At 34.4% G+C, this 22,637-nt stretch overlaps 1 long non-coding RNA gene and 1 pseudogene across 1 annotated transcript; one reads left to right on the top strand and one right to left on the bottom strand.

Moving 5' to 3' along the window:
• The first annotated feature begins 2,267 nt into the window (after nt 1–2,267).
• On the top strand, nt 2,268–7,166 carry TTTY3 (testis expressed transcript, Y-linked 3). Its single transcript, NR_001524.1, has 3 exons — nt 2,268–2,371; nt 4,570–4,704; nt 7,062–7,166. It is a non-coding gene; the product is annotated as a testis expressed transcript, Y-linked 3 (long non-coding RNA).
• USP9YP9 (USP9Y pseudogene 9) lies at nt 3,788–7,230 on the bottom strand (annotated as a pseudogene).

Consider the following 22,637-nt stretch of genomic DNA (forward strand, 5'->3'; position numbering starts at 1 on the left):
TGCAGCACACCAACATGGCACATGTATACGTATGTAACTAACCTTCACATTGTGCACATGTAGCCTAAAACTTAAAGTCTAATAAAAAAATTGTATCAAGCACCTACTAGAAAAAAAAAAGGAAAGAATTATCTAGGACAGCTTTGGCAAGATGATCAGAAGAAGAATACTTTTTTTTTTTTTTTTTTTTTTTTTGAGACGGAGTCTCGCTCTGTCGCCCAGGCTGGAGTGCAGTGGCGGGATCTCGGCTCACTGCAAGCTCCGCCTCCCGGGTTCACGCCATTCTCCTGCCTCAGCCTCCCAAGTAGCTGGGACTACAGGCGCCCGCCACTACGCCCGGCTAATTTTTTGTATTTTTAGTAGAGACGGGGTTTCACCGTTTTAGCCGGGATGGTCTCGATCTCCTGACCTCGTGATCCGCCCGCCTCGGCCTCCCAAAGTGCTGGGATTACAGGCGTGAGCCACCGCGCCCGGCCCAGAAGAAGAATACTTTAAGTGTGGTCATGTTTTATTTTACCCTTGTGACATTTTCTTTGTCAATAGGTACTACCTTGTCCTAGTTCATAAAAATTTGTGAGATTTCAAGAAGAGCATAAAGTAATTTATTTATTCTTTCTCAAAATGCAGAGACAGTAAAAATTAACCATTTTACGGGCTTTAATACAAAGTTTACTAAAAAACAAATACTGATCAAAATATAAATAAATACCATTTATGAACACTTCTAAGTTAAAACGAATATTTTTGTTAAAATTTTCTGGGAAGATTAGCCACAACAAGAGTAATGCAGTCTTCTCTTTTCTTTTCTTACCTTTTTTCTTTCTCTTTCTTTCTCTTTTTCTTTCTTTCTTTCTCTCTTTTTCTTTCTTTCTTTCTTTGTTTTCTTTCTTCCTTTCTTTCTTCCTTTGTTTTTTCTCTTTCTTTTCTTCCTCTCTTCTTTCCTTTCTTTCTTTCCTTTTTTTTTTTTTTTTTTTTGATGGTGTTTCACTCTTGTTGCCTCGGCTGGAGTGCAATGGTTGTGATTTTGGCTCACTGCAACTTCCACCCCAGGAGTTCAATCGATTCTCCTGCCTCAGCCTCCCAAGTAGCTGGGATTACAGTCATGTGCCACCACACCTGGTTAATTCTGTATTTTTGGTAGAGACAAGGTTTCACCTTGTTAGCCAGGGTGGTCTGGATCTCCTGACCTCACGATCCACCCTCCTCAGCCTCTCAAAGTGCTGGGATTATTTTGAGTCATGGCACCCAGCCAGGTTAATCATTTAAAAGATTTTAGTGTGCTATAACATTTAGCATGACTTCTCACCAAGTTCATGTAGCCAAAAATTGGAATTACCTAAATTACAGCAGTTGTCCAGAGTAACAGCTCTATTTCTCAGAAACCTTATTTTTTTATGCCAGAAACAATCAAAGACAGGGTAAAAATGTAAAAAACAAGCAGATTTTAATTCTACACATTCTTCACCTTTAATGTTTGATAGCTTAATTTCTTGCTGAGATAAAGATATTGCCATATTTTTAATAGGAATTCTTAAATATTACAACCAATATACATACTTTTCATATGTCACAATGTTTGGAGCATGGGAAGTTGTATTTTTTTGTGCTGGGGGCACTTTTGTGGTAGAATTTACTAAGGGATGCTTCTAAAATTTGCTTCACCTAATTCCAGTAAAGTGCATATTATCAGAATCCACAGTACTTTGAAGCACCATTGTGCCAAGATTTCTGACTGTTTTGCTAGCCAGTCACAATTTTCCTTGAAAGCAGTAAGTCTCCTAGTTTATTTCTATATTATTTTAAAGCTTTTGTCATTAGATGTAGGGTTTACTGAAGATAAAAGTGCCTTCTGATTTTAAATAATTAATATAATTTTTTATTTGATGTAATATCTCTATGCCCCTGTTGGAAACAGTAGGATATGAAGTGTGTTGCATAGTGTGAGGATCAGCAATTCATTTGTTTGAACCGGTTACAATATACTATGTTTTTATCTTTTTATAGTATATAAGCATTAGCATTGAACACCATGAATGCAAAATGCAGTCTACATTAGTCAAGACCTATAAATACACTATCAGGGCTACTGATATTGGTATATTGTAATCCAACTATGTCATGTGTCTTCCTATATGGACTATTGTTATTTGCAGTCTATGTTTCTCTTCTGGCCTAGACTTAGATTTTGGAATTTCTGTTCCTTAGAAAGTACAAGAGAAGCATATTTAGATTAATCCCATTTCTGCATTACTGCTGCACCTCTTTAAGGTTGCCACTTCAAGGGACTACATCATGATGTCCTGTTTCTAATGACCTCCCAATCATCCTGCAGAAGATTCTTCAAATGGGGATCAACATGTCCTTATTTAAGGTACCCCTTAAATTTCTACTATTAAGTGGATGCCAGGATATGATTCAGCCCATTGAAAGTCCGTGTATCACATACTGGCATCTGTTTGAAAGTCCAGTTTTCTATTGTTCACATGGCCAGGATACTGATTACTGTTTACGACTCATGAATTCAAACAATTGCCTTTATAAAACAATCATTTAACAGCATAGAGTTCAATCATTGAGCTAATTTACTCATTCAATCTTCAACTGGTCTTCATTTCTGGTCTCTATGAGAGCCTTGCAACAGGACATTATACACCCACTTTGAAACTGCCATTCATCAACTAAGCAGGTTGTTGTTGTCAATAGGGAGCTCTTCAAAGGGCATTGCCCATGTGACAGTGGGATCCAGTAATTCCTGAGGTTATTGCAAACTACATGCTAGAAAATACCAGACTGCCTGCTCTTGAATAGGATCATCATCTCATTGCACTTCCCTGGTAATATTTTCCTCTATAAAACCATCTTTTTATGTTATTTGAAAGTCTTCTGAGCACTTCCTCATTAGACTGTTTCTTTAATTTGCCCAACACTTTATACGTGTTGCAAGTTTTATAATTATTTTATGGTCTTCAGTCAAAGAAGCTGTCTCAACACTAAGGCAAGAAAACCTAGTAATTATCTTTCCAATGGCACATATTGTTTCATGGCATCCAGGAGAGCCCTGGACCACAATTTCCAGCTAATGCTGAAGAGGGGCATGTGTGGCTTTTCTGCCATGTCCTCAGTCTGCCCAAGAACATGTCGCAAGTACTTCTAAAATCAGAATTTGGATCACAAAGTCCCAATGTGTAGAGAGAAAGAGGTTTTTACAATTCAGAAATGGCCACATTTAGTGAAATTTCTTATTTAAACAGACCACTATTTATCATTTTTAAACTGATGCATTATAATTTTCCATATTTACAATGTAGAACCGTTATCTTGATACATGCACAAAATCAGCAATGACCAAATTTTTAAATGGCATACTGGTAATTGGTATATTAGTCATTTCCGACATATATGACATATTTGTTTCAAGAACTTTCCAAATCTAAACTTCTAGTTATTATGAAATCTATAATAAATTATTCATACCTATAACCTCCCTCCTATACAATCAAACTTTAGAACCTATTCTTTCTAACTATTTTTTACACATTAACTAACTCATTTATTTGCTTAATGTCTTTCATAGCCTATAATAATCTGTCATTCTATTCTCTACCTATATGAGATCAACTTTGTTATTTCTCACATATGAATAAAATCAACCAATCCTTGCGCTTTATATTTCCTGGCAAATTTCACTTAATATAATGTCTCTTAAATGAAGTATTTTGCCTCAGTAATATTTAGTTAACTTATTGAGGCTTTTATACAACTGAAATAATCACTCACCTAAAATTTACCATAACTGTTACCAAAATTCTTTGGGTACATATGATTGTACTTTGAAAACAGCTCAATGAACAAAGATGTCTTGAAGATGTCTTATGACACAAATATTGTTCTCTTTTCTATCTTCTGTCTTTATTAACTCTGGATTGTCTTCCAATTAATAAAAATATTCTGATAAATTACCTTGGGGATCAACATTAATGACCAAAAAATCAGTAATGCACTCATTTAACTTTATAAATATAAGGAAAGAAGTTGAAACAAATAAAAAACTTGCTGAATAAAATTATATACATTTTGTACATTCCTAATTTTCAAAACACTTAAATTACTTTTTATTTTTTACTCTTATTGCTCAGTTCAAACATAGACTATTATAACTGGGTTTACAGAAAAGTTATCATAAAAGATTCATAAAATAATAACCTACACTGGAGATAATATAATATAGTAAAATTTGTTCAAGCAGGCAGGAGTAAGACAAATGAGTCCTCTGCCATGAGTAACTTTGGGGAATAAGTAACTTTGGGGGAATAAGTTACTTAGTCTTTGTAGGATTCTGTATCTTCTTCTGGGAATAATGCATTTTCCAAATTACATAAGATTATTTACATGATGAAATCAGAATTATTAACACTGAATAAATATGCCTATTAACCCTAGTTTTGGAAGGATGGGGTGGGGGGCATAGAGAGAAGCTCCAAAAGTCAAAACATGATTGTAGCCATAGAGCAAAGTACAGTTGCTTTCCAAGTATCTGAGAGGTTTCTTATTGTTTTCGTTGTGTCATAGGTTTGTGATGAAGAAATAAACAATCCCCAGTTCCTGCCCTAGAGAAGCTCATTGCATAGAAAAAGGAACAAGGCAGATATACATGCCACAGTACAGTAATGAGACAACATAAATCACAAGCAACCAAGTCCAAAGGTAAGATACCTAATTTGAAATTTTATATTCTGTTTCATCTGCTTCTTGCTGTTGTGATTAACCATCTCTATATGTGTTAAATTCAACGCCCTAGGGGTAACACGGGCTATCATGTCAGAAATTACCTTCCAACTTTTCTTCCAATAGTGTCTGTTAACCAAGTATTGGTGAACATCCCATATGAAGATTCTACTAAAAGTAAAGCTACCCCAACTGCAATGCTTGGATGATATAATTTTCTGGGTCTAAGAAAGAGGAAGAAAGTGTGTGTTTTGTAATGTCTATAAATCATTAAATGCTGGGACACTGGTAACTGAAAGACAAACTATTTCTGCCAACTGAAAGGAAAAAATGAAGACATTGTAGGAAAACAATTTATTACAGTAAAACTATTCTGATTTTTTAATTTAGTTTTTATCAATATCCACACAAAAAGTAAAATTAATAATAATAATAATAATAATAATAATAATAAAGATCTTGAGTATAAACATTACCAAAATTTAGGTGTTCCATGTTTACTTATTTGGAGGTGTATCCTAAATAGGTGATCACCACTGTAACCTAATTTTTTACTGCTTTATGTTCAAATTAAACTTTTCATAGGCAGTGTTATGATAATTCTTAACTAATATTTTTTACAAAATCAGGGAGCATAATTTGAAGAACACATTTGATTCTTTAGCAGAAAAAGCTCTAATTTCATAAAAACATATTAGAGAATTTTAAAAATAAGCACAGCTTATGAAACACAGACAATATAAATATAACAGTCATAGTTTCTCAGCGATTTTAGCCACATTATAAAAATGTACTTACCACAAATTCTTTTAAAGAACAATAATTGCAGAGAGAAAAACCGTAGCTGCTATCAGAATCTTCAAACTATTAGTAATTAATAATTAGAATTTACCTCACTGTTCTGCTTCTCATCTTCAAACAATCATTATCTATATTTTTACCTATGCATTCAATTGCAAGAATACTGTTTTCAGTGTGGGGGGAAACACATACACACACGTATGTATATCTATAACATATATATAGATATATATGGCTGCTGGATCACAGCATTCATATGATAAGTAGCACCAGCATTTTTGAGTCCCGCAAATATTTCTGGCAGGTGAGATCTAACAGAGAGCAGATATTCCCACTCAAAAAGTGCTTCACAACCTGAGATCAGAAGAAAAAACAATGCTTGTACTATGAAAATCATAATTCTGCCCACTCTTCTTTCCATCACGTGACAAATTAATATTGATGACAACTCATTTGTCATCACAGCCATTTTGAAAGAGTACTTTGAATTTTCATACTAACAATAAATCAAGTGACCATTACAGATTTTTAACTTCAGACCCCTTAGGTACATAGTTTAATGCCATCACATCTGTTTGTTTTTTTAAAAAAGGGTTTATTTTAAAAACTGTCTTTTGAATATATATATACATATATAAACTATGTCAATTCAATTGTTAAATAAATTAACATACAAGGTGTTTTTAAGAGGGAAACTCTTCTCTTTACATAGATCTCACGAGACAAATAAAGATCTGACTTTTTAAGTGGTGAGTTTAGCTAGAAACTCCTACAATATGCTAGAAAATATACTCGCCCAGAGAAAAACGTAAACAAATAGAATTTCACATTCATCAATTAAAGATCTGTACAGAATGCTGTTGTTAACTGTATTATTAATCCTTGGTTTTCTCTTGAAATAAGCTGAATTTTGTTATCATTTGCTCATTTACTTATATTAACTCACAGGCTGAGTTTCTGTTCTGTGTAAGATTTGAACATTGATACTTACTTTGTTGGACTTATGTGGACATTTAGAAGTAATAAAATTCACTCAAAAGTTTTCTTCTCACATTATGATTTTTAAAGCCATACCTCTCTTAGAATTTAACTAAAATAACATTAAGTAACTTCGAGGTTTGGGTTATAAAAATCATTTTAATGCATACATTTTAAATATAAAATTTGGACCATTAAATTTGGCTTCTGGATACTCTGAGGTTTCAGTATTTTTTAACATGGGATTCAATAAAACCCACTTTGGTTACCAACACCAAGTATAGGGGAGCACTTAAGAAATACATATATTTTTTTAAATTTAATATTGTCTGACATAAACGGTTTTAAATATATACCTGATGGCTACAAAATGTTAAACTAGTTGATCAAAAGCAAACAAGCAAGAAAACTATGAGTTAATTCCTTCTAAATAAAAAGTAGACTTTCAAAGTAAACTATTATTCCTGAAGAAAAACAGCTTTATAATGTAAAAATTCACTAGTTGTTGCTTTCTCTCTGTAATATATTGCATTCAAACAGTCTACTATCTTTTTAAGGTTCTTTACACAGCCAATAGCTGGTGCTACAAGCAGATCAAAACCAGGATTGATGGTAATGGAAGAGGAACAGACTGGAAGAGCTGGCTCTTCTGGCAGTTTTTTTATTTCTTAGACATTACAGTTAAACTTTTGATGCAGGGAAGACAACAACATCAATTAATTCTTGGTAAGTTAGAAAAATAAATCACAGGTTATTAGTAGAAAACATATGTTATGAAAAATATGTCTTTTCAAGAAAATACTTTTATGTTTATTTGACATAATTAAAATCTCATTATATTTTGAAACAATTTTGAATTTTGTTCCAAAGAAAAATCATTTCAAAAAACCCAAGAACAGTCAATGCATGTAATTCATTTCCAAAATTAGATTATTGAAGAAATTTCTAAAACCTGAGAACTTTACCCAAAACAAAAATAGCATTCTAAATTAACCTACTTTTTAAATTACATATTAATGGAAATAAATTTATTTTCAATAATAATAAGGCATTAAAGTTACATTATTTTTCTTGAATTACGAAACATATAAAGAAAAACATCAAAAATATGATATAAAAAATAAGTTTTTGCAAGATGAATGTTTTCTCAATTAGAAATTCAATCAAGGGACAGGTGTGGTGGCTCACATCTGTAATTCCAGCACTTTTGGAGGCCAAGGCAGGCAGCATACTTGAAGCCAAGAGCTTGAGACAGGCCTGGCCAATATGGTGAAACCCCATCAGGTGTAGCGGTGCTCACCTGTAATCTAAGCTAATCAAGAAGTTCAGGCAGAATAATCACTTGAAACCGGGAAGCAGGGGGTTGCAGTGTGCCAAGATTGCACTGCTGTACTCCAGCCAAAGAGACAGTGTGAGATTCCTTTATAAAAATAAAAGAAAATAAATTAAATCAATTAAGAATTGAGATATATTACTTATTTACTTTTCAATGTAGTTTCTGGCAACTTCGAATTGCAATTACAAAAATGTCTTAAATAAAGTGTGGCACACATTTCAAAGTTACTGTAACCTCACCTCTACAAAAAGAAAGCTTTTTTTTTATTTAATGTATTCAATTTCATTTTATATTAAGTTCCAGGGTACATATGCAGGGCATACTGGTTTATTTCATAGGTAAACTTTTCCGTGATTGTTCACTGCAACTATTAACCCATCACCGAGGTTATTCAGCCCCACATAAATAAGCTATTTATTCTGAAGGTCTTTTTTTCTCTGCCTCTGGACAGACCAAGTCGAAAGCTGTTCTGTGTGTCTTTAATGTTCAGTGTGAACGTTTAATGATTGTGAACATGGAGTGCTTGTTTTTTCGTTTCTCTGTTAGTTTTCTGAGGATGATGGTTTCCAGCTTCATCCATCTCCCTTCAGAGAACATGATTTCTTTCATTTTAGTGGCTGCATATTATTTCATGATGTATATGTGCCATGCTTTCTTTATCTAGTCTGTTACTGATGGGCATTTGAGTTAATTCAATGTATTTGCTATTGTGATTAGTGCTGTAATAAACATACACATCCATGTATACTTAAAATAGAATGACTTATTTTGAAGGGGAGCTATGTACCCAGTAATGAAATTGCTGAGTCCAGTGGTATTTCTGGTTCTAAATATCTGATGAATTACTACACACTTTTCCACAATGTCCATACTGATTTACACTCCTAACAACAGTGTAAAAGCATTGCTATGTCTGCACTAACCCACTACCATCTGTTGTTTCCTGGCTTTTTAGTAATCTCCATTTTGTCTGGCCTCAGATGATATCTCATTGTGATTCTGGTTTGCATTTCCCTAACAATTAGTGATGCCGACCATTTTGAGTTAAATGTCTTCTGAAATGAAAGACACATAACTCTTTTCTTACCCCAGTGTGGCCTCTTTATATCTGCTAATCAGCACTCATTTCCCGGTGTTTTAACACTACCCTGCAAAAGAAAAAGTATTATAGGCTCAACTTATTAGATAGAGAAAATGACAGGATATTAGAACAGCAGAAAGTTAGAGAAAAATGAGATCTCATATAAAATTTCCACAAGTTTTTTCTTTTTTTTTTTTGACAGAGTTTCTCTGTTTTCATGCAAACTGTAGTGCAATGGTGCAATCTTGGCTCACTGCAACCTCAGCCTCCCCGGATCAAGCAATTCTCCTGCCTCAGCCTCCTCAGTAGCTGAGATTACAGGTGTCAGCCACCACACCCAGCTAATTTTTTCTATCATTGTCACATCAAATCTACAGCTAAGCATATGAAGAGATAATAAGTTATCAGAAAAATGAAAAATCAAGCCACAATGAGATACAAGTTTATATTGAATAGAATGGACTGTAATGAGAAATAAATGACAGATGTTTTCAAATATATGGAAAAATTGGGAAACTCATCCAATTGCTATCGGGAACATGAAGTGAGGTTGCTCCTTTAGAAAACAGTCCAGTAGTTTCCCAAATAATTGGATGTACATTCAGCATATTTCCCAAAAATTAAGGTATATTTATGCCAATTTGTATAGGAATGTTTGTAGTAGCATTATTCACAATATAAATATTTCCATCAACTCCTGATGTGGAGGTGGACCTAGGCCAACACTACCCTTGCAGTGCATTCGCATCATACATTCCCTTACCATATATCTGATACAATTGATGCAAATTCATTTATTTCATAGTGAAACCACCAAGATAAAGAATTTGGACAAAATACTGGAACTTTTTTCCATCAGTATGCTTGGTTTAAAAATAGGACAGAATATTAAACCTGTTTCAGAAATCTCAAGCTTAGGAAATGCCGGCATTTTAAAGAAAGGACACTCTGCCTTGGAAGGAGGCATTATCTTTATCTTTCATGGGTGTTTGTTATACATAGCCCCATTGAGGATAATCTACAGCACAAGGCTGTAAGTCACAAAGAGCCTCATATTGTATGAGTCCATTTATATGAAGTGTCTGTAGTAGGCAAATCCATAGTGACGGAAAATGTCTTATTGGATACCAAGGGCTTTAGGAAATGGGGAAGCTGGGATTTAATGGTAATGGGTGCAGTGGTATTTTTTTATTTATTTCAGGTGATGGAAATCTGTATTTAAAAAGTGGTGATATTTGTACACCTTTATGAATACCCAGAATATCATGGAATGTGTACTTTAAAATGGCTAATATGATAGTTTGTGCGTTATCTCTCAATTAAAAATGTGTTGAAACCTCAGTGAAAGTTTTGAGCACTACAAGCCTTAGCAGGAATGTAGATGCAAGTTAAACACACAGATATGTGTTTAAAAGCAACTTAAAAGTACGAAATGGGCCCCAGTCACATAAAGTGGAAGGGAATTGAACAACTGAAAAACAATGTGAGGTAAACTCAAAATTGGAATTAAATATGAAAGAATGCTTTCTCCAGTCTACATAGCAAAAAGTGGAGGAAAAGGCCATGTAGTTGGATGATGCTTTCCTTATAAATAATGCCTCTAACTATGCCCCTAAATGTTAAATCATTTTTTATAAGAAAGCGAAACTCAGAATCTGGAAAGAAGTCAGGAATATCAGCATTAAATTATAAATTGTTCAGCATACACCTGAAGAATTTAATTTACCTTTTAATTCTTGTTATACATAAATAGAATCACACAGAATTATCTAGTTTGTTAATAAAACCAGCAGGATAAATAATTGCTTAACCTTTTATTGCTTCAATCTCCACAGTTTAATAAGAAGACCAAATAATAAGTCTGTTGCAGAAATTATGTCTATGAATCTTTTAGAATAGAGATCATGCCAGGCATGGTTAATCACACCTATAATTGAAAGAATACAGGGGGTCCAAGGCGGGTGGACAACCTGAGGTCAGGAGTTTGAGACCAGCCTGGCCAGCATGGTGAAATCCCGTCTGTACTAAAAATGTCAAAAAAAAAAAAAACATCAAAAAAGAACTGCCAGTTGGGCTGGCAGTCCCCTGTGTTCCCAGCTACTCAGGATGTTGACACAGGAGAATTGCTTGAACTTGAGAGGCAGAGGTTGCAGTTAACTGAGATCCTGTCACTCCAGCTTGAGCAACAGAGCAAGACTTAATCACACCCCACTGCAGGCCAAAAATAGGTAAATAAATAAATAAATAAATAAATAAATAAATAAATAAGAAAAAAGGATCAAATTAACTGCAAATATATCAGGTATTATTTACCCCAGTTCACCTGACAAAAGACAAAAATCCACATACTGATGGAACTTATATTTTGGCTTTAGTGGAAAGTAGTGACAATATCTAGTGATTTAATTTTAATTAAGAAGGACAAGGATGGTGGGTTTATTTACGGTGGAAGGTAGAAGATAACTAAAGGGGATGAGTGAATCAGATGAGAAATGTGGATGACCTGTATCTGGGTGACGCAGGAGAAATAGGGAAAAGTGGTTAGATTGTGAACCTATTTTAAAAAGAAAACATGCAGAATTTGAGGATTAATAGAAAAGATGAGATGAAAATAAAAGCATCAAGGATGACCTTACAGTTTTAGGCCTTTGCAACAGGACGTGATTACTATCAGGTGAAATGGGAAACAATTCGGGAAGGTTATTTGGAAAAAGCATTGTTTCAGGAAGTCAGGAACCCCGAACAGAGGGACCTGCTGAAGCCATGGCAGATGAACATAAATTGTGAAGAGTTCATGGACATTTATTAGTTCCCCAAATTAACACTTTTATAATTTATTATGCCTGTCTTTACTGCAATCTCTGAACATAAATTGTGAAGATTTCATGGACACTTATCAATTCCCCAATCAATACCCTTGTGATTTCCTATACCTGTCTTTATTTTAATCTATTAATCCTGTCATTTAAGTAAGCTGAGGAGGATGTATGTCACCTCAGGACCCTGTGATGATTGCGTTAACTGTGCAAATTGTTTGTAGAGCATGTGTGTTTGAACAATGTGAAATCTGGGCACCTTGAAAAAAGAAGAGGATAACAGCAATGTTCAGGGAACAGGGGAGATAACAAACTCTGACTGCCAGTGAGCCAGGCAGAACACAGCCATATTTCTCTTCATTCAAAAGCAAATGGGAGATATATTACTGAATTCTTTTTCTCAGCAAGGAACATCCCTGAGAAAGAGAATGTGCCCCTGAGGAGAGGCCTCTGAAATGGCCGCTTTGGTGATGGCTGTCTTTTATGGTCATAGCTGAGGGAAGAAATAAGACCCGGTCTCCCATAGCACTCCCAGGCTTATTAGGACGAGGAAATTCCTGCCTAATAAATTTTGGTCAGACCGGTTGTCTGCTCTCAAACCCTGTCTCCTGACAAGATGTTATCAATGACAATGTGTGCACAAAACTTCACTTGCAATTTAAATTTTGCCCCGGTCTTGTGGTCCTGTGATCTCACCCTGCCTCCATTTGCCTTGTGATATCTTATTACCTTATGAAGCATGTGATCTCTGTGACTCAAACCCTATTCATACACTCCCTCTCCTTTTGAAAATAACTGTTAAAAATTTGCTGGCTTTGAAGCTTCTGGGGCATCACGGAACCTGCCAACATGTGAGGTCTCCCCCGGACACCCAGGTTTAAAATTTCTCTCTTTTGTACCCTTTCCCTTTATTTCTCAAAGAGGCCAACACTTAGGGAAAATAGAAAAGAACCTACGTGAAATATCAGGGGCTGAATTTCCTCCAATAGAGCATCAGAATTCAGTGTGTAGCCTTGAGATCAAATTGCCCGTTAAACATGAGTACATGTAATAGAGTCATATATGATTTGGGGTTTGGTAAGAGACTGGCTGGAATAACAATTTGGGAATCATAGTACCATGCAGAAATTGATTGTACAGGAAGACATAACTGAGAGATTGACAGTAAATTCATCAGGGATAGTTCAAGGAAGAGGGAGACTAAGAAATAACTCATATTTGGCCAGGCCTGGTGGCTCATGCCTCCAGTGGCTGCACTTTGGGAGCCTGAGGCAGGCAGACAGCTTGATCCCAGGAACTCAAGACCAGCCTGGGATAATGGAAAGGCCCTGTTTCTACCAAAATTAGCTAGTCTGGGTGACCTGTAGTCACAGTCACCCAGGAGGATGAGGTGGAAAGATCACTTGAGCCCAGGAAGTTGAGGCTGCAGTGAATTCTTGATTGCACCACTGAACTCCAGCCTGGACAACAGAGGCAGACCCTGTCTCAATAGACACACGAACAACAAAGACAAGAATTTTTGTTTTAAAACTATTATATTTGGCAAAAAGGAAGTTGATTATTTTAAATATAGTACATTTGATAGATTGTTGGGGATGAAAGCCTGAATGGTAAAGGTAAGTGGAATTTTGAAATGAGAGCATATTATCAATGGTAAAAATATTCATCTGAAATTCAAGGTAACATTTTAAATTTAGCAGTTAGGGTGTCACTGATGACCTTTGAGAAAGGACCGTGACTTCACTGATGTGGGATAAAACCTGAGACAGAATAAGAACTGATCAAAATCAAATAGCTAATAGAAATTCTGTGTGGAAATTAAAAGCAGACGAAAACATCAGTAACAAAAGAGACAGTTTTTGTTGTGGATCATAAAATATGGAGTTTGTTTTACATTTGCGATAAGGAAATCAGGGTAGTGAAGAAGAGAATAAAATAAATTACATGAAAGAGGAAAAGATCAATCATATTAATGGGTTGGGTCCAGGAGGATGTATTTTAAAATATGATAAAGGTTTTTTCTTTGTGTTTGAATAAATAAGTGCATGTAGATAAAGGTGTGATTTAGATCAGAGTAACCAACCACAGAAGTTGAGGAATTTAAAATTCTGCAGCATAAAACTTAACAAATTGGAGGAAAGCATATTTATGTTAAGTTATGAGAATCAAAGCAATGCAAAGAAAGTTCAGGAAATGAACATCTTATCAAATAAAATAAAATAGGTAACTTCTTGATTCTTCCCTCCCTCTTTTTAAAACTACTACTTCAGTTTTCCCCACTGATATATTTTAACCAATGACCAACATCTTCTGGGGAAATATTATGCTTTCTCTCTTGTAATTTGCATTAGATTCTTACATATTTCATGTGTTTTTATTATATTAACAACATTTTTAATCAGAAAAAGGTTTCTGTCTAAATTCGGTTTCAATATTTACTGTTGCCTTTTATCTTCCTTCTTATTCATGTTTGTTGAATATTGTTTCCCACAAATAATGGCTAATTGACCTTCACAATATATTAGTAATTTATCTGGCTGTTTGACTAGAAAGCACCTAATATGAGCTATTTGGCCTCCCCCCAACCCCCCAAGAAAAGAGATTTTAGATCTTCAATAACCATGCAAACTCTGGATTTCACATCTATATAAATTGAAACTTTACTTGATTCATAACTTCATAGCATTAAATCAAGCCAAGAAACAGTTTTTTATATGCAAAATGGCCATCGTCTAACAATAAGTGGAACTTACAGGGCTCACTGTTTTTTATTTCTTTCCTAATCAGAAATATCTGCTAGATATTTTTCTTAGTGTCATCATCATTAGAATTGGCTTAGACCTTGTGCTGTTTTGTTTTAGTCAATGTCAGCATCAGACAGTGGCTGAAGAGCACACACACACACACACAAACACACAAACTTATGAGAAATATACACCTTGTTTCATACTACTTGAAGACAGGACTATCATCTTGGCGTTAAGAGGTAGTTAAGGCCTCATAGAAGTTTTATTGTCTATTTCCTTAAAACACTGTTTGCTAAAGAAATAATATGTCAAGTTATTTGACATATTGACTAACTTATGACAAATGCTTTAATTGACTAAATTATGTCAAGTGGTGGTTCAATATTTCCTAAACCAGACATAGATTTTTTTATCGTGATTAGTGATCCTTATTTACCTTTTTAGATTTTCCGTGAATACTGAATTATACAGAATCTTGTTTTCTTCTGTTTGGATCTGATACCAAATTATACTGGATGCACTGACAGAAGAGTACGAATTAGCAGCATGCTGAGAATGGACACAGCGTTTGAAGAGACTAATAAATAAAGTACAGCTTTCCTTTCAGCATTCTCTGCTCAACTGTTCTCTGCTGTGGTGAGGCCACCTATGCTTTGTATAGGTTTGAAATTAATTGAAAAGCTATTGACATATTCTAATGTTATTTGCTATGAGCTTTATTATTGTGGAGGTAATTTTGGATCAAATTACCCTAAAGTTTTTCAGTAAAGACTTGAGGTGAAATAAAGCTGCATTACTTTTGTTGGCGCATTCTTCCTTTAGGACATATCATGAGGTAAGTGACACAAATATCTCTCGTTCTCTGTTTCCAACAAGTAAATAAATATGAATAGTTCACTAACAAGATTAAGATGTGATCATCATTCTTCTAATAGAAATGTGTCCCTGTTTGTTTTTCACAATTCTGAATTATTTTCTATGCAATTTTTCAGTCTTAAGGTAATGATAGTTTTTAAAAAATGCAAATGCGATTAAGTCGGTCATTTTTTCTGTTTCTTTTAATATGATTCTCATTCAGCCTAATGAGCATTCTAAATAGTTATGAGGAATAGAAATATAACCTTAAATTAATGAATGAAAGTAGAGTGAGTGAGAAAAGACTATGGTTCAGAAATAATCTTGTAGATTTTATTTGTCAACTGATGTGATTTAATATGTTAGTGGTAGATTTTCTAGACTCCTTAAATTTGTAGCTGTGACTTTGAATATCAAAACATAGCTAAGCAACTCATTTCCATATGACTTCTATCTGTTACTATAGTGATTTACATGAGTACTATAAATTTTGTAAGAACTAATTTCATTCAGATCTGCACTGACAGTTCCAAGAGAGTAAAATGTATAAAAATTATATACATTTTATAGATTTAGGAACCAATGGGGATAAGTGTTACCTTTCATTAAAAAGGTAAGTGAAGAAGTTTATAAACACATGCAAAAATATGCAACCTCACGATTTAAACTTCTTTGCAAATAAAAATTAGTAATCGCAGGGACAGTTAGTAATACTAGCAGGGCAATAAACATTCCTGCAAAGCCAAAGAGTTAATTCCAGTGACAATGCATGAAGTGATTTTGGGCCGTACTCTGGAGCGAATTTAAGTTTAATTGACTGAATCTCCTGAAAGAAAAGGATTTAGGCAGAAACAACAAAAAAAATGAACAACACTTTAGCCAGTAAACTCAACAAGTAAATAAAACTCCTGGCAATATTAGAACCAATAAATCTCCATGTAGTAAATCTCCATGTACCTAATTTTGTTGCTATACTTGTTGTTTGGACAGTGTCTTGCTCTGTCGCCCAGGCTAGAGTGCAGTGGCATGATCTAAGCTCCTGCAACCTCCAACTCCCAGGTTCAAGGGATTCTCCTACCTCAGCCTCCTGAGTAGCTGGGGCTACAGGTGCACACCAGCACACCCAGCTAATTTTTACGTGTTTAGTAGAGATGGGGTTTCCCTATATTGGCCCTGCTGGTCTCAAGCTCCTGATCTAGTGATCCACCCACCTTGGCCTCCCATGTGCCATCGTACCTGGCCAACTTTTTCTTTTTTACAAGCCTAATTTAAGAAATTTTATAAATTTCTTAAATTTACATTCTTTAATTTTATACATTTCTTAAATTTCTTAAAATAAGCCAAGCATGGTGGCTCACACCTTTAATCCCAGCACTTTGAAAGGCTGAGGTGGGCAGATCCCCTGAGGTTGGCGGTTCATGGCCAGCTTAGCGAACATGGTGAAATCCCATCTCTACTAAAAATACAAAACTAGCTGGGCACCCTGACTCATGCCTGTAATCCCAGCTATTCAGGAGATTGAGGCAGTAGAATCGCTTGAACCTGAGAGGGAGAGGTTGCAATTCTGTAATGAGGAGAAATGTTGAGAATATATATATATACAAACACAAACACACACACACACACACACACACACACAGCCACACAGAGCCCACCCCCCCACACATACACACATCTGTTAGCTGTATATATATACTTTTGAAAACAGAAGATACTTATTTTTAATTGGGTTATTATTTTCTTATTCTTTTGAATCTGTTTTTAGTTCCTTGTATATTTTGATTAACCCCTTTTCTGATGTACACTTTGCAAATATTTGCTGTCATTCTATTACTGTGGTGACTTATTTTATTTTATTTTTATTTTTTGCTGTATGGAAGTTTTCTAGTATGATGTAACCTCGTTTTTCTGTTTGTGTGTTTTCTGCTTGCGTTTTTGTCTGATCCAAAAAATACTCTTGCCCAGACCAAGATCATTAAATGTGTTTTGTGATTTGTTCTACTAGTTTGACATTTTGGTGTTTTCATTACATCTTTATTTTTAAATGTTTTTAAAAATATATTCTTATTGGTGAGGTCTCACTATTTTACCTAGTGTGGAGTGCAGTGGCACAAGTCTTTCATGCTATAGCTTTGAACACCTAGGCCCAGATGATCCTCCTGTCTGACACTCCTGAGTAGCTGAAACTATAGGTGAACACCACTCCACTAGGCATTTTAATCCATTTGAGTTAATTTTTGCATGTGGTGAGAGATAGGTTCTTATTATATTCTTCTGCATGTAGCTCTCTTGTTTTCCCAGCACCACTTATTGAAGAGACTGACCTTTCTTCATTTTGTGTTCTTGGCACCTCTGCAGTATATCAGTTGGCTATACAGGTGGAAATTTATTTTTACTCACTGTATTATATTTTATTGGTTTATAGCATTGTGACATTGTCAGTTCACTCCACAACGCCAATCCCACTGCCATCTTCAGGAGTGCTTTGGCTATTCAGGATTTTTTTGTGGTTTCATATTAATTTAGGATATTTTTCAATTTCTGTGAAAAATGCCATGGGTGTTTTGATAGATATTGCATTCAATCTGTGCACTGCTTTGGATCATATAAACATTTTAATGACATTACTTTTTCCAATCAATGAACATAGATATTTTTCCATTTATTTATGCCATTTTAACATTTTATTAATGTTTCATAGGTTTCAGAATGTAGATTTTTTTTTACCTCCTTGGTTAAATTTACTGCTTTTTATCCTCCATAGCTACTGTAAATGAGATTTTTTCTTAAGTTTTTTTAATATATATCTTGCTATTAGTGTATGGAAATGCTATGGAGTTGTATATGTTGATTTTGTAAACTGAAACTTTACTGACTTTCTGAATTAGTTCTAACTACTTTTTAGTGGTGTGTTTAAGGATTTTCATATTACATCATTAGCATATATGGAAAATTTTACTTCCTCTCCAATTTGGGCACCTTTTCTTACTTTCTCTTGTCTAATTACTCTGGCTAAGGACTTTTAGTATTATGTGAATATAAGTAGTGGAAGTGAACACCCTGGTCTTCTTCCAGCTCTTCACAGAAACCTTTCAACTTTTAACTCCCATTGAGTGGATATTAGCTAAGGTTTTGTCATACATAGCATTATCTGCTTATTTGGGTCTAGGTCATTTGTTGTGTTGAGTTACAGTTGTTCCATGCATAATTTGTTAAGAGATTATACTGTGAAAAATGTTGAATTCTATCAAATTTTTTTTCACATATTGAAATGACTGCATAGATTTTGTTCTTATTTTGCTGATGTAATGTATGACATTTAATGATTCTTGTGTATTAAAACATTCCTGCATCCCTGTAATCTCTCTTGATCACAGTGAATGACTTTCTAAATATGCATGATAAGTCATTTTCCCAGTATTTTGTTGAGGGTTTTTGCACTATGTTTTTCAGATTTATTGGCCCATAGTTTTCTCTTTTTTCTTGTATCCTTGTCTGGTTTTGCAATCAGCATAATGCCGTCCTGACGGAATGAGTTGGAACAAACAGTTCCCATATATTCATTTCTGTTTAATGATTTTGTTTTTGTTTTGACTAGATTACACAAAAAGTGGCAGTAGTTTATTTTTTGTGGTAGGTAGAATGCAGCAGTGAATACGTCAGGTCCTGGTCTTTTCTTTAATAGGTGCCTTTTTATTGCTGATTCGATTTCTTACTATTAATTTGTTTCTTGGTATCAGTTATGGTATCTCTTTTTTGGCTCCAATACACTTTATTAAGAGATTGTTTGTTTGTTATTACTTTTGAGTTTAGCTTTCTGTTTTTATAATTCCTTGATTGAAACATCAAGTTGTGTATTTAATATCTTCTTTTAGTTGAAGGCATTTATTGCCATAACTTCCGTCTTAAAACTGCTTTGAATGTATCCCATAGGTTTTGTTGTGTTGTGTTTCTGTTTTTGTCTCAATAAATAGGGTGTTTCTCTTTAATGTCTTCATTGACTCAGCGGTTGTTCAGGAGTATGTTGTTTAATTTTGATGTGCTTATGAATTAGTGATTTCAGAAGAGACACTTGATATGACTTTGATTTTTTCAAATTCATTAAGATGTGATTTTTTGGCTAATGTATGATATATCCTGAAAGATGTTCCATATATGCAGTGGAGAAGAATGTTTACTCCATAGCTCTTGGATGGATAGTTCAGTAACTGTTTTTAGCATTTTCCCTACGGGGCATTTTAATCCAGTGTTTACTTGTTGAATTCTGTCTGCATTATCTATTCATTGCTGAAAGTAATGTGCTGAAGTTTTCTAGGATTATCTTGCACTTCTTTTCTTCCTTTGGATCTATTAACATCTGCATTACATATATGCACATATTACTTATATAGCTGTATTCCAGATATAATATTGTCTTTTTTTTGTTCTGCTTAATTCTGTATCCTCTCTTTGTCTTTGATATTTGGTGGTTTGATTAGATTAAGTTATGGGAATATTTTCATTGAAATTGAATCTGATTGGAAGCCTTCAATATTCCTGTAGCAGAATATTAATATTTTATATCAATTTGGAAAGGTTTCTGTTATTATTTATCTAAATAAGATTTCTACTCTTTTTTAATAGTTTTTATTGAGTTGGAGGTTTGCTCTTGTCTCTTAGGTTGGAGTGCAATCATGTGATTGTAGCTCACTGCAACCTCCACGTCCTCAGTTCCAGTGATTCTCCTGAGTTCCAGTGACTCTCCTGACTGAGACTTCTGAGTAGCTGGGATTACAGATGTCCACCAATATACCTGGCTAATTTTTGTATTTTAGTAAAGAAACTGTTTCACCATGTTGTGCAGGATGCTCTCAAGCTCTTGACAACATATGATCCACCAGCCTTGGCCTCCCAAAGTGCAGGGGATACAGGCATGAGTCATTGGGCCCAGCTCTACCACACTCTTGAATGCCAGTGTCTGATACCTTTGCTCTTCGGATGTTATCCCATTAATCTCATAAATCTTATTTATGTTTTCTCTCTGATTGCATATTTTCAATTGACTCCTGTTTGAGTTTTGCTGCTTGGCCACTTCCGTTGTCACTACTGTCAATTGCATTTTTTATTTTGTTGTGTTTTATTCTTCAAGGTTTCTGTTTGTTTTTCCATCCTGTTATTTTAAACTCTCAGGTAAATTTCTCCGATAAATTCCAGAATTCTTTGTGTTTTGCTGAAGTCCTCTGCATTGTCGTAAAATAAATATTTTGAATTCCTTGTCAGGCCATGTTCCATGCCCATCTCTTTTGGGTCAGTCACTTCTAGCACCTTATTTTGACCATCTGATGCCATCATGTTTCTCTCATTGATCCTAATCCTTGTGACTATGCACTGATGGCTGTGCAGTGATGTAGGTGCCTAATTCAGTGTTCATGGTTTGGCTTTGTTTGGAAGCTTTCTTCTACAGTAAGCCTGTACAGAGATTCAGGGCAAGGAGAAGAAGGAAACTAAGGTCTTTAAATCTATGATTACTTCAGCCCTGGTAACACAAGGGAAAATACTAATGAGCAGAATTTCATGGCTGGAGTAATTTGACTGGTAAAGCTGACTCATTTCCAGGTTTATAACTGGGTTAACAGAAAAGTTATCATAAAAGAGTAGTAAAATAATAATCTACACTGGAGGTAATATAATATGGTAAAATTTGATGAAGTAGGCAGGAGTAAGACAAATGAGTCCTCTGCCATGAGTAACTTTGGGGGAATAAGTAACTTTGGGGGAATAACTTACTTAGTCTTTGTAGGATTCAGTATCTTCCTTTGAGAATAATGCATTTTCCAAATTATATAAGATTATTTACATGATGAAATCAGCATTATTAACACTCAATAAATATACCCATTAAACACAATTTTGGAAGGTTGGGGAGCATAGACAGAAGCTCCAAAAGTCAAAACATGACTGTAGCCATAGAATAAAATACAGTTGGTTTCCAAGTATCTGAGAGGTTTCTTATGGTTTTCATTGTGTCTTAGATTTGTGATGAAGAAATAAACAATCCCCAGTTCCTGCCCTGGAGAAGCTCATTGCATAGAAAAAGGAACTAGGCAGATATACATGCCACAGTACAGTAATGAAACAACATAAATCACAAGCAACCAAGTCCAAAGGTAAGATACCTAATTTGAAATTTTATATTCTGTTTCATTTGCTTCTTGCTGTTGTGACTAACCATCTCTATGTGTGTTAAATTCAACCCCCTAGGGGTAACACGGGCTATAGTTCCAGAACTTACCTTCCAATTTTTCTTCCGATAGTGGCTGTTAACCAAGGATTGGTGAATATCCTATATGAAGATTCTACTAAAAGTAAAGCTACCCTGACTGCGATGCTTGGATGATATAATTTTCTCTGTCTAAGAAAGAGGAAGAAAGTGTGTGTTTTGTAATTTCTATAAACGGTTAAGTGCTGACACACTAGTAGCTGAAAGACAAACTATTTTTGCCTATTGAAAGGAAAAATGAAAAAATTGTAGGAAATCCATTTATTACAGTTAAAATATTCTAATTTTTTAATTTAGATTTTATCAGTATCTATACAGAAAAATAAAAATAATAATAAGGAGAAAGAGCTTGAGTATAAACATTACCAAAATTTAGGTATTCCATATTCACTGATTTGGTGTTATATCCTAAATTGGTGATCTGCCACTATAACCTAACTTTTTAACTGCTTTATTTTCAAATGAATACTCTTCATAGCAGTTTGATGATAATTCTTAACTAATATTTTTTACAAGTTCACATAGCATAATTTGAAGAACAAATTTTTTTCTTTAGCAGGAAAAGCTCTGATTTGAGAAAAATGTATAGATAATTTTAAAAATAAGCACGGCTTTTGAAAGATAAATATAAATACATCAGTCATAGTGTCTTAGAGATCTTAGACATATTATGAAAAAGTACTTCCCGCATAATTCACTTAAAGTAAAATAATGTCAGAGAGAAAAACAGTAGCTGCTATCAGAACCTTCAAAGTGATAGTAATTAATAATTAGAATTTACCTCACTGTTCTGCTTCTCATCTTTGGAAAATCATTGTCTATATTTTCAGCTATGCATTCATTAGCAAGAGCACTGTTTCTAGTGGAATATATATATATGTATAATATGTGTATATATACATATGTGTGTATGTATATATATATACTGCATCACAGAATTCATTTGATAAGTAGCACCAGCATTTTTGAGTCCCACAAATCTTTCTGGTGGGTGAGATCTAACAGGGAGCAGGTATTCTCACTTAAAAAGTGCTTCACA

The sequence above is a fragment of the Homo sapiens genome, chromosome Y (genome assembly GCF_000001405.40).
Source record: "Homo sapiens chromosome Y, GRCh38.p14 Primary Assembly".
Classification (NCBI taxonomy): Eukaryota; Metazoa; Chordata; class Mammalia; order Primates; family Hominidae; genus Homo; species Homo sapiens.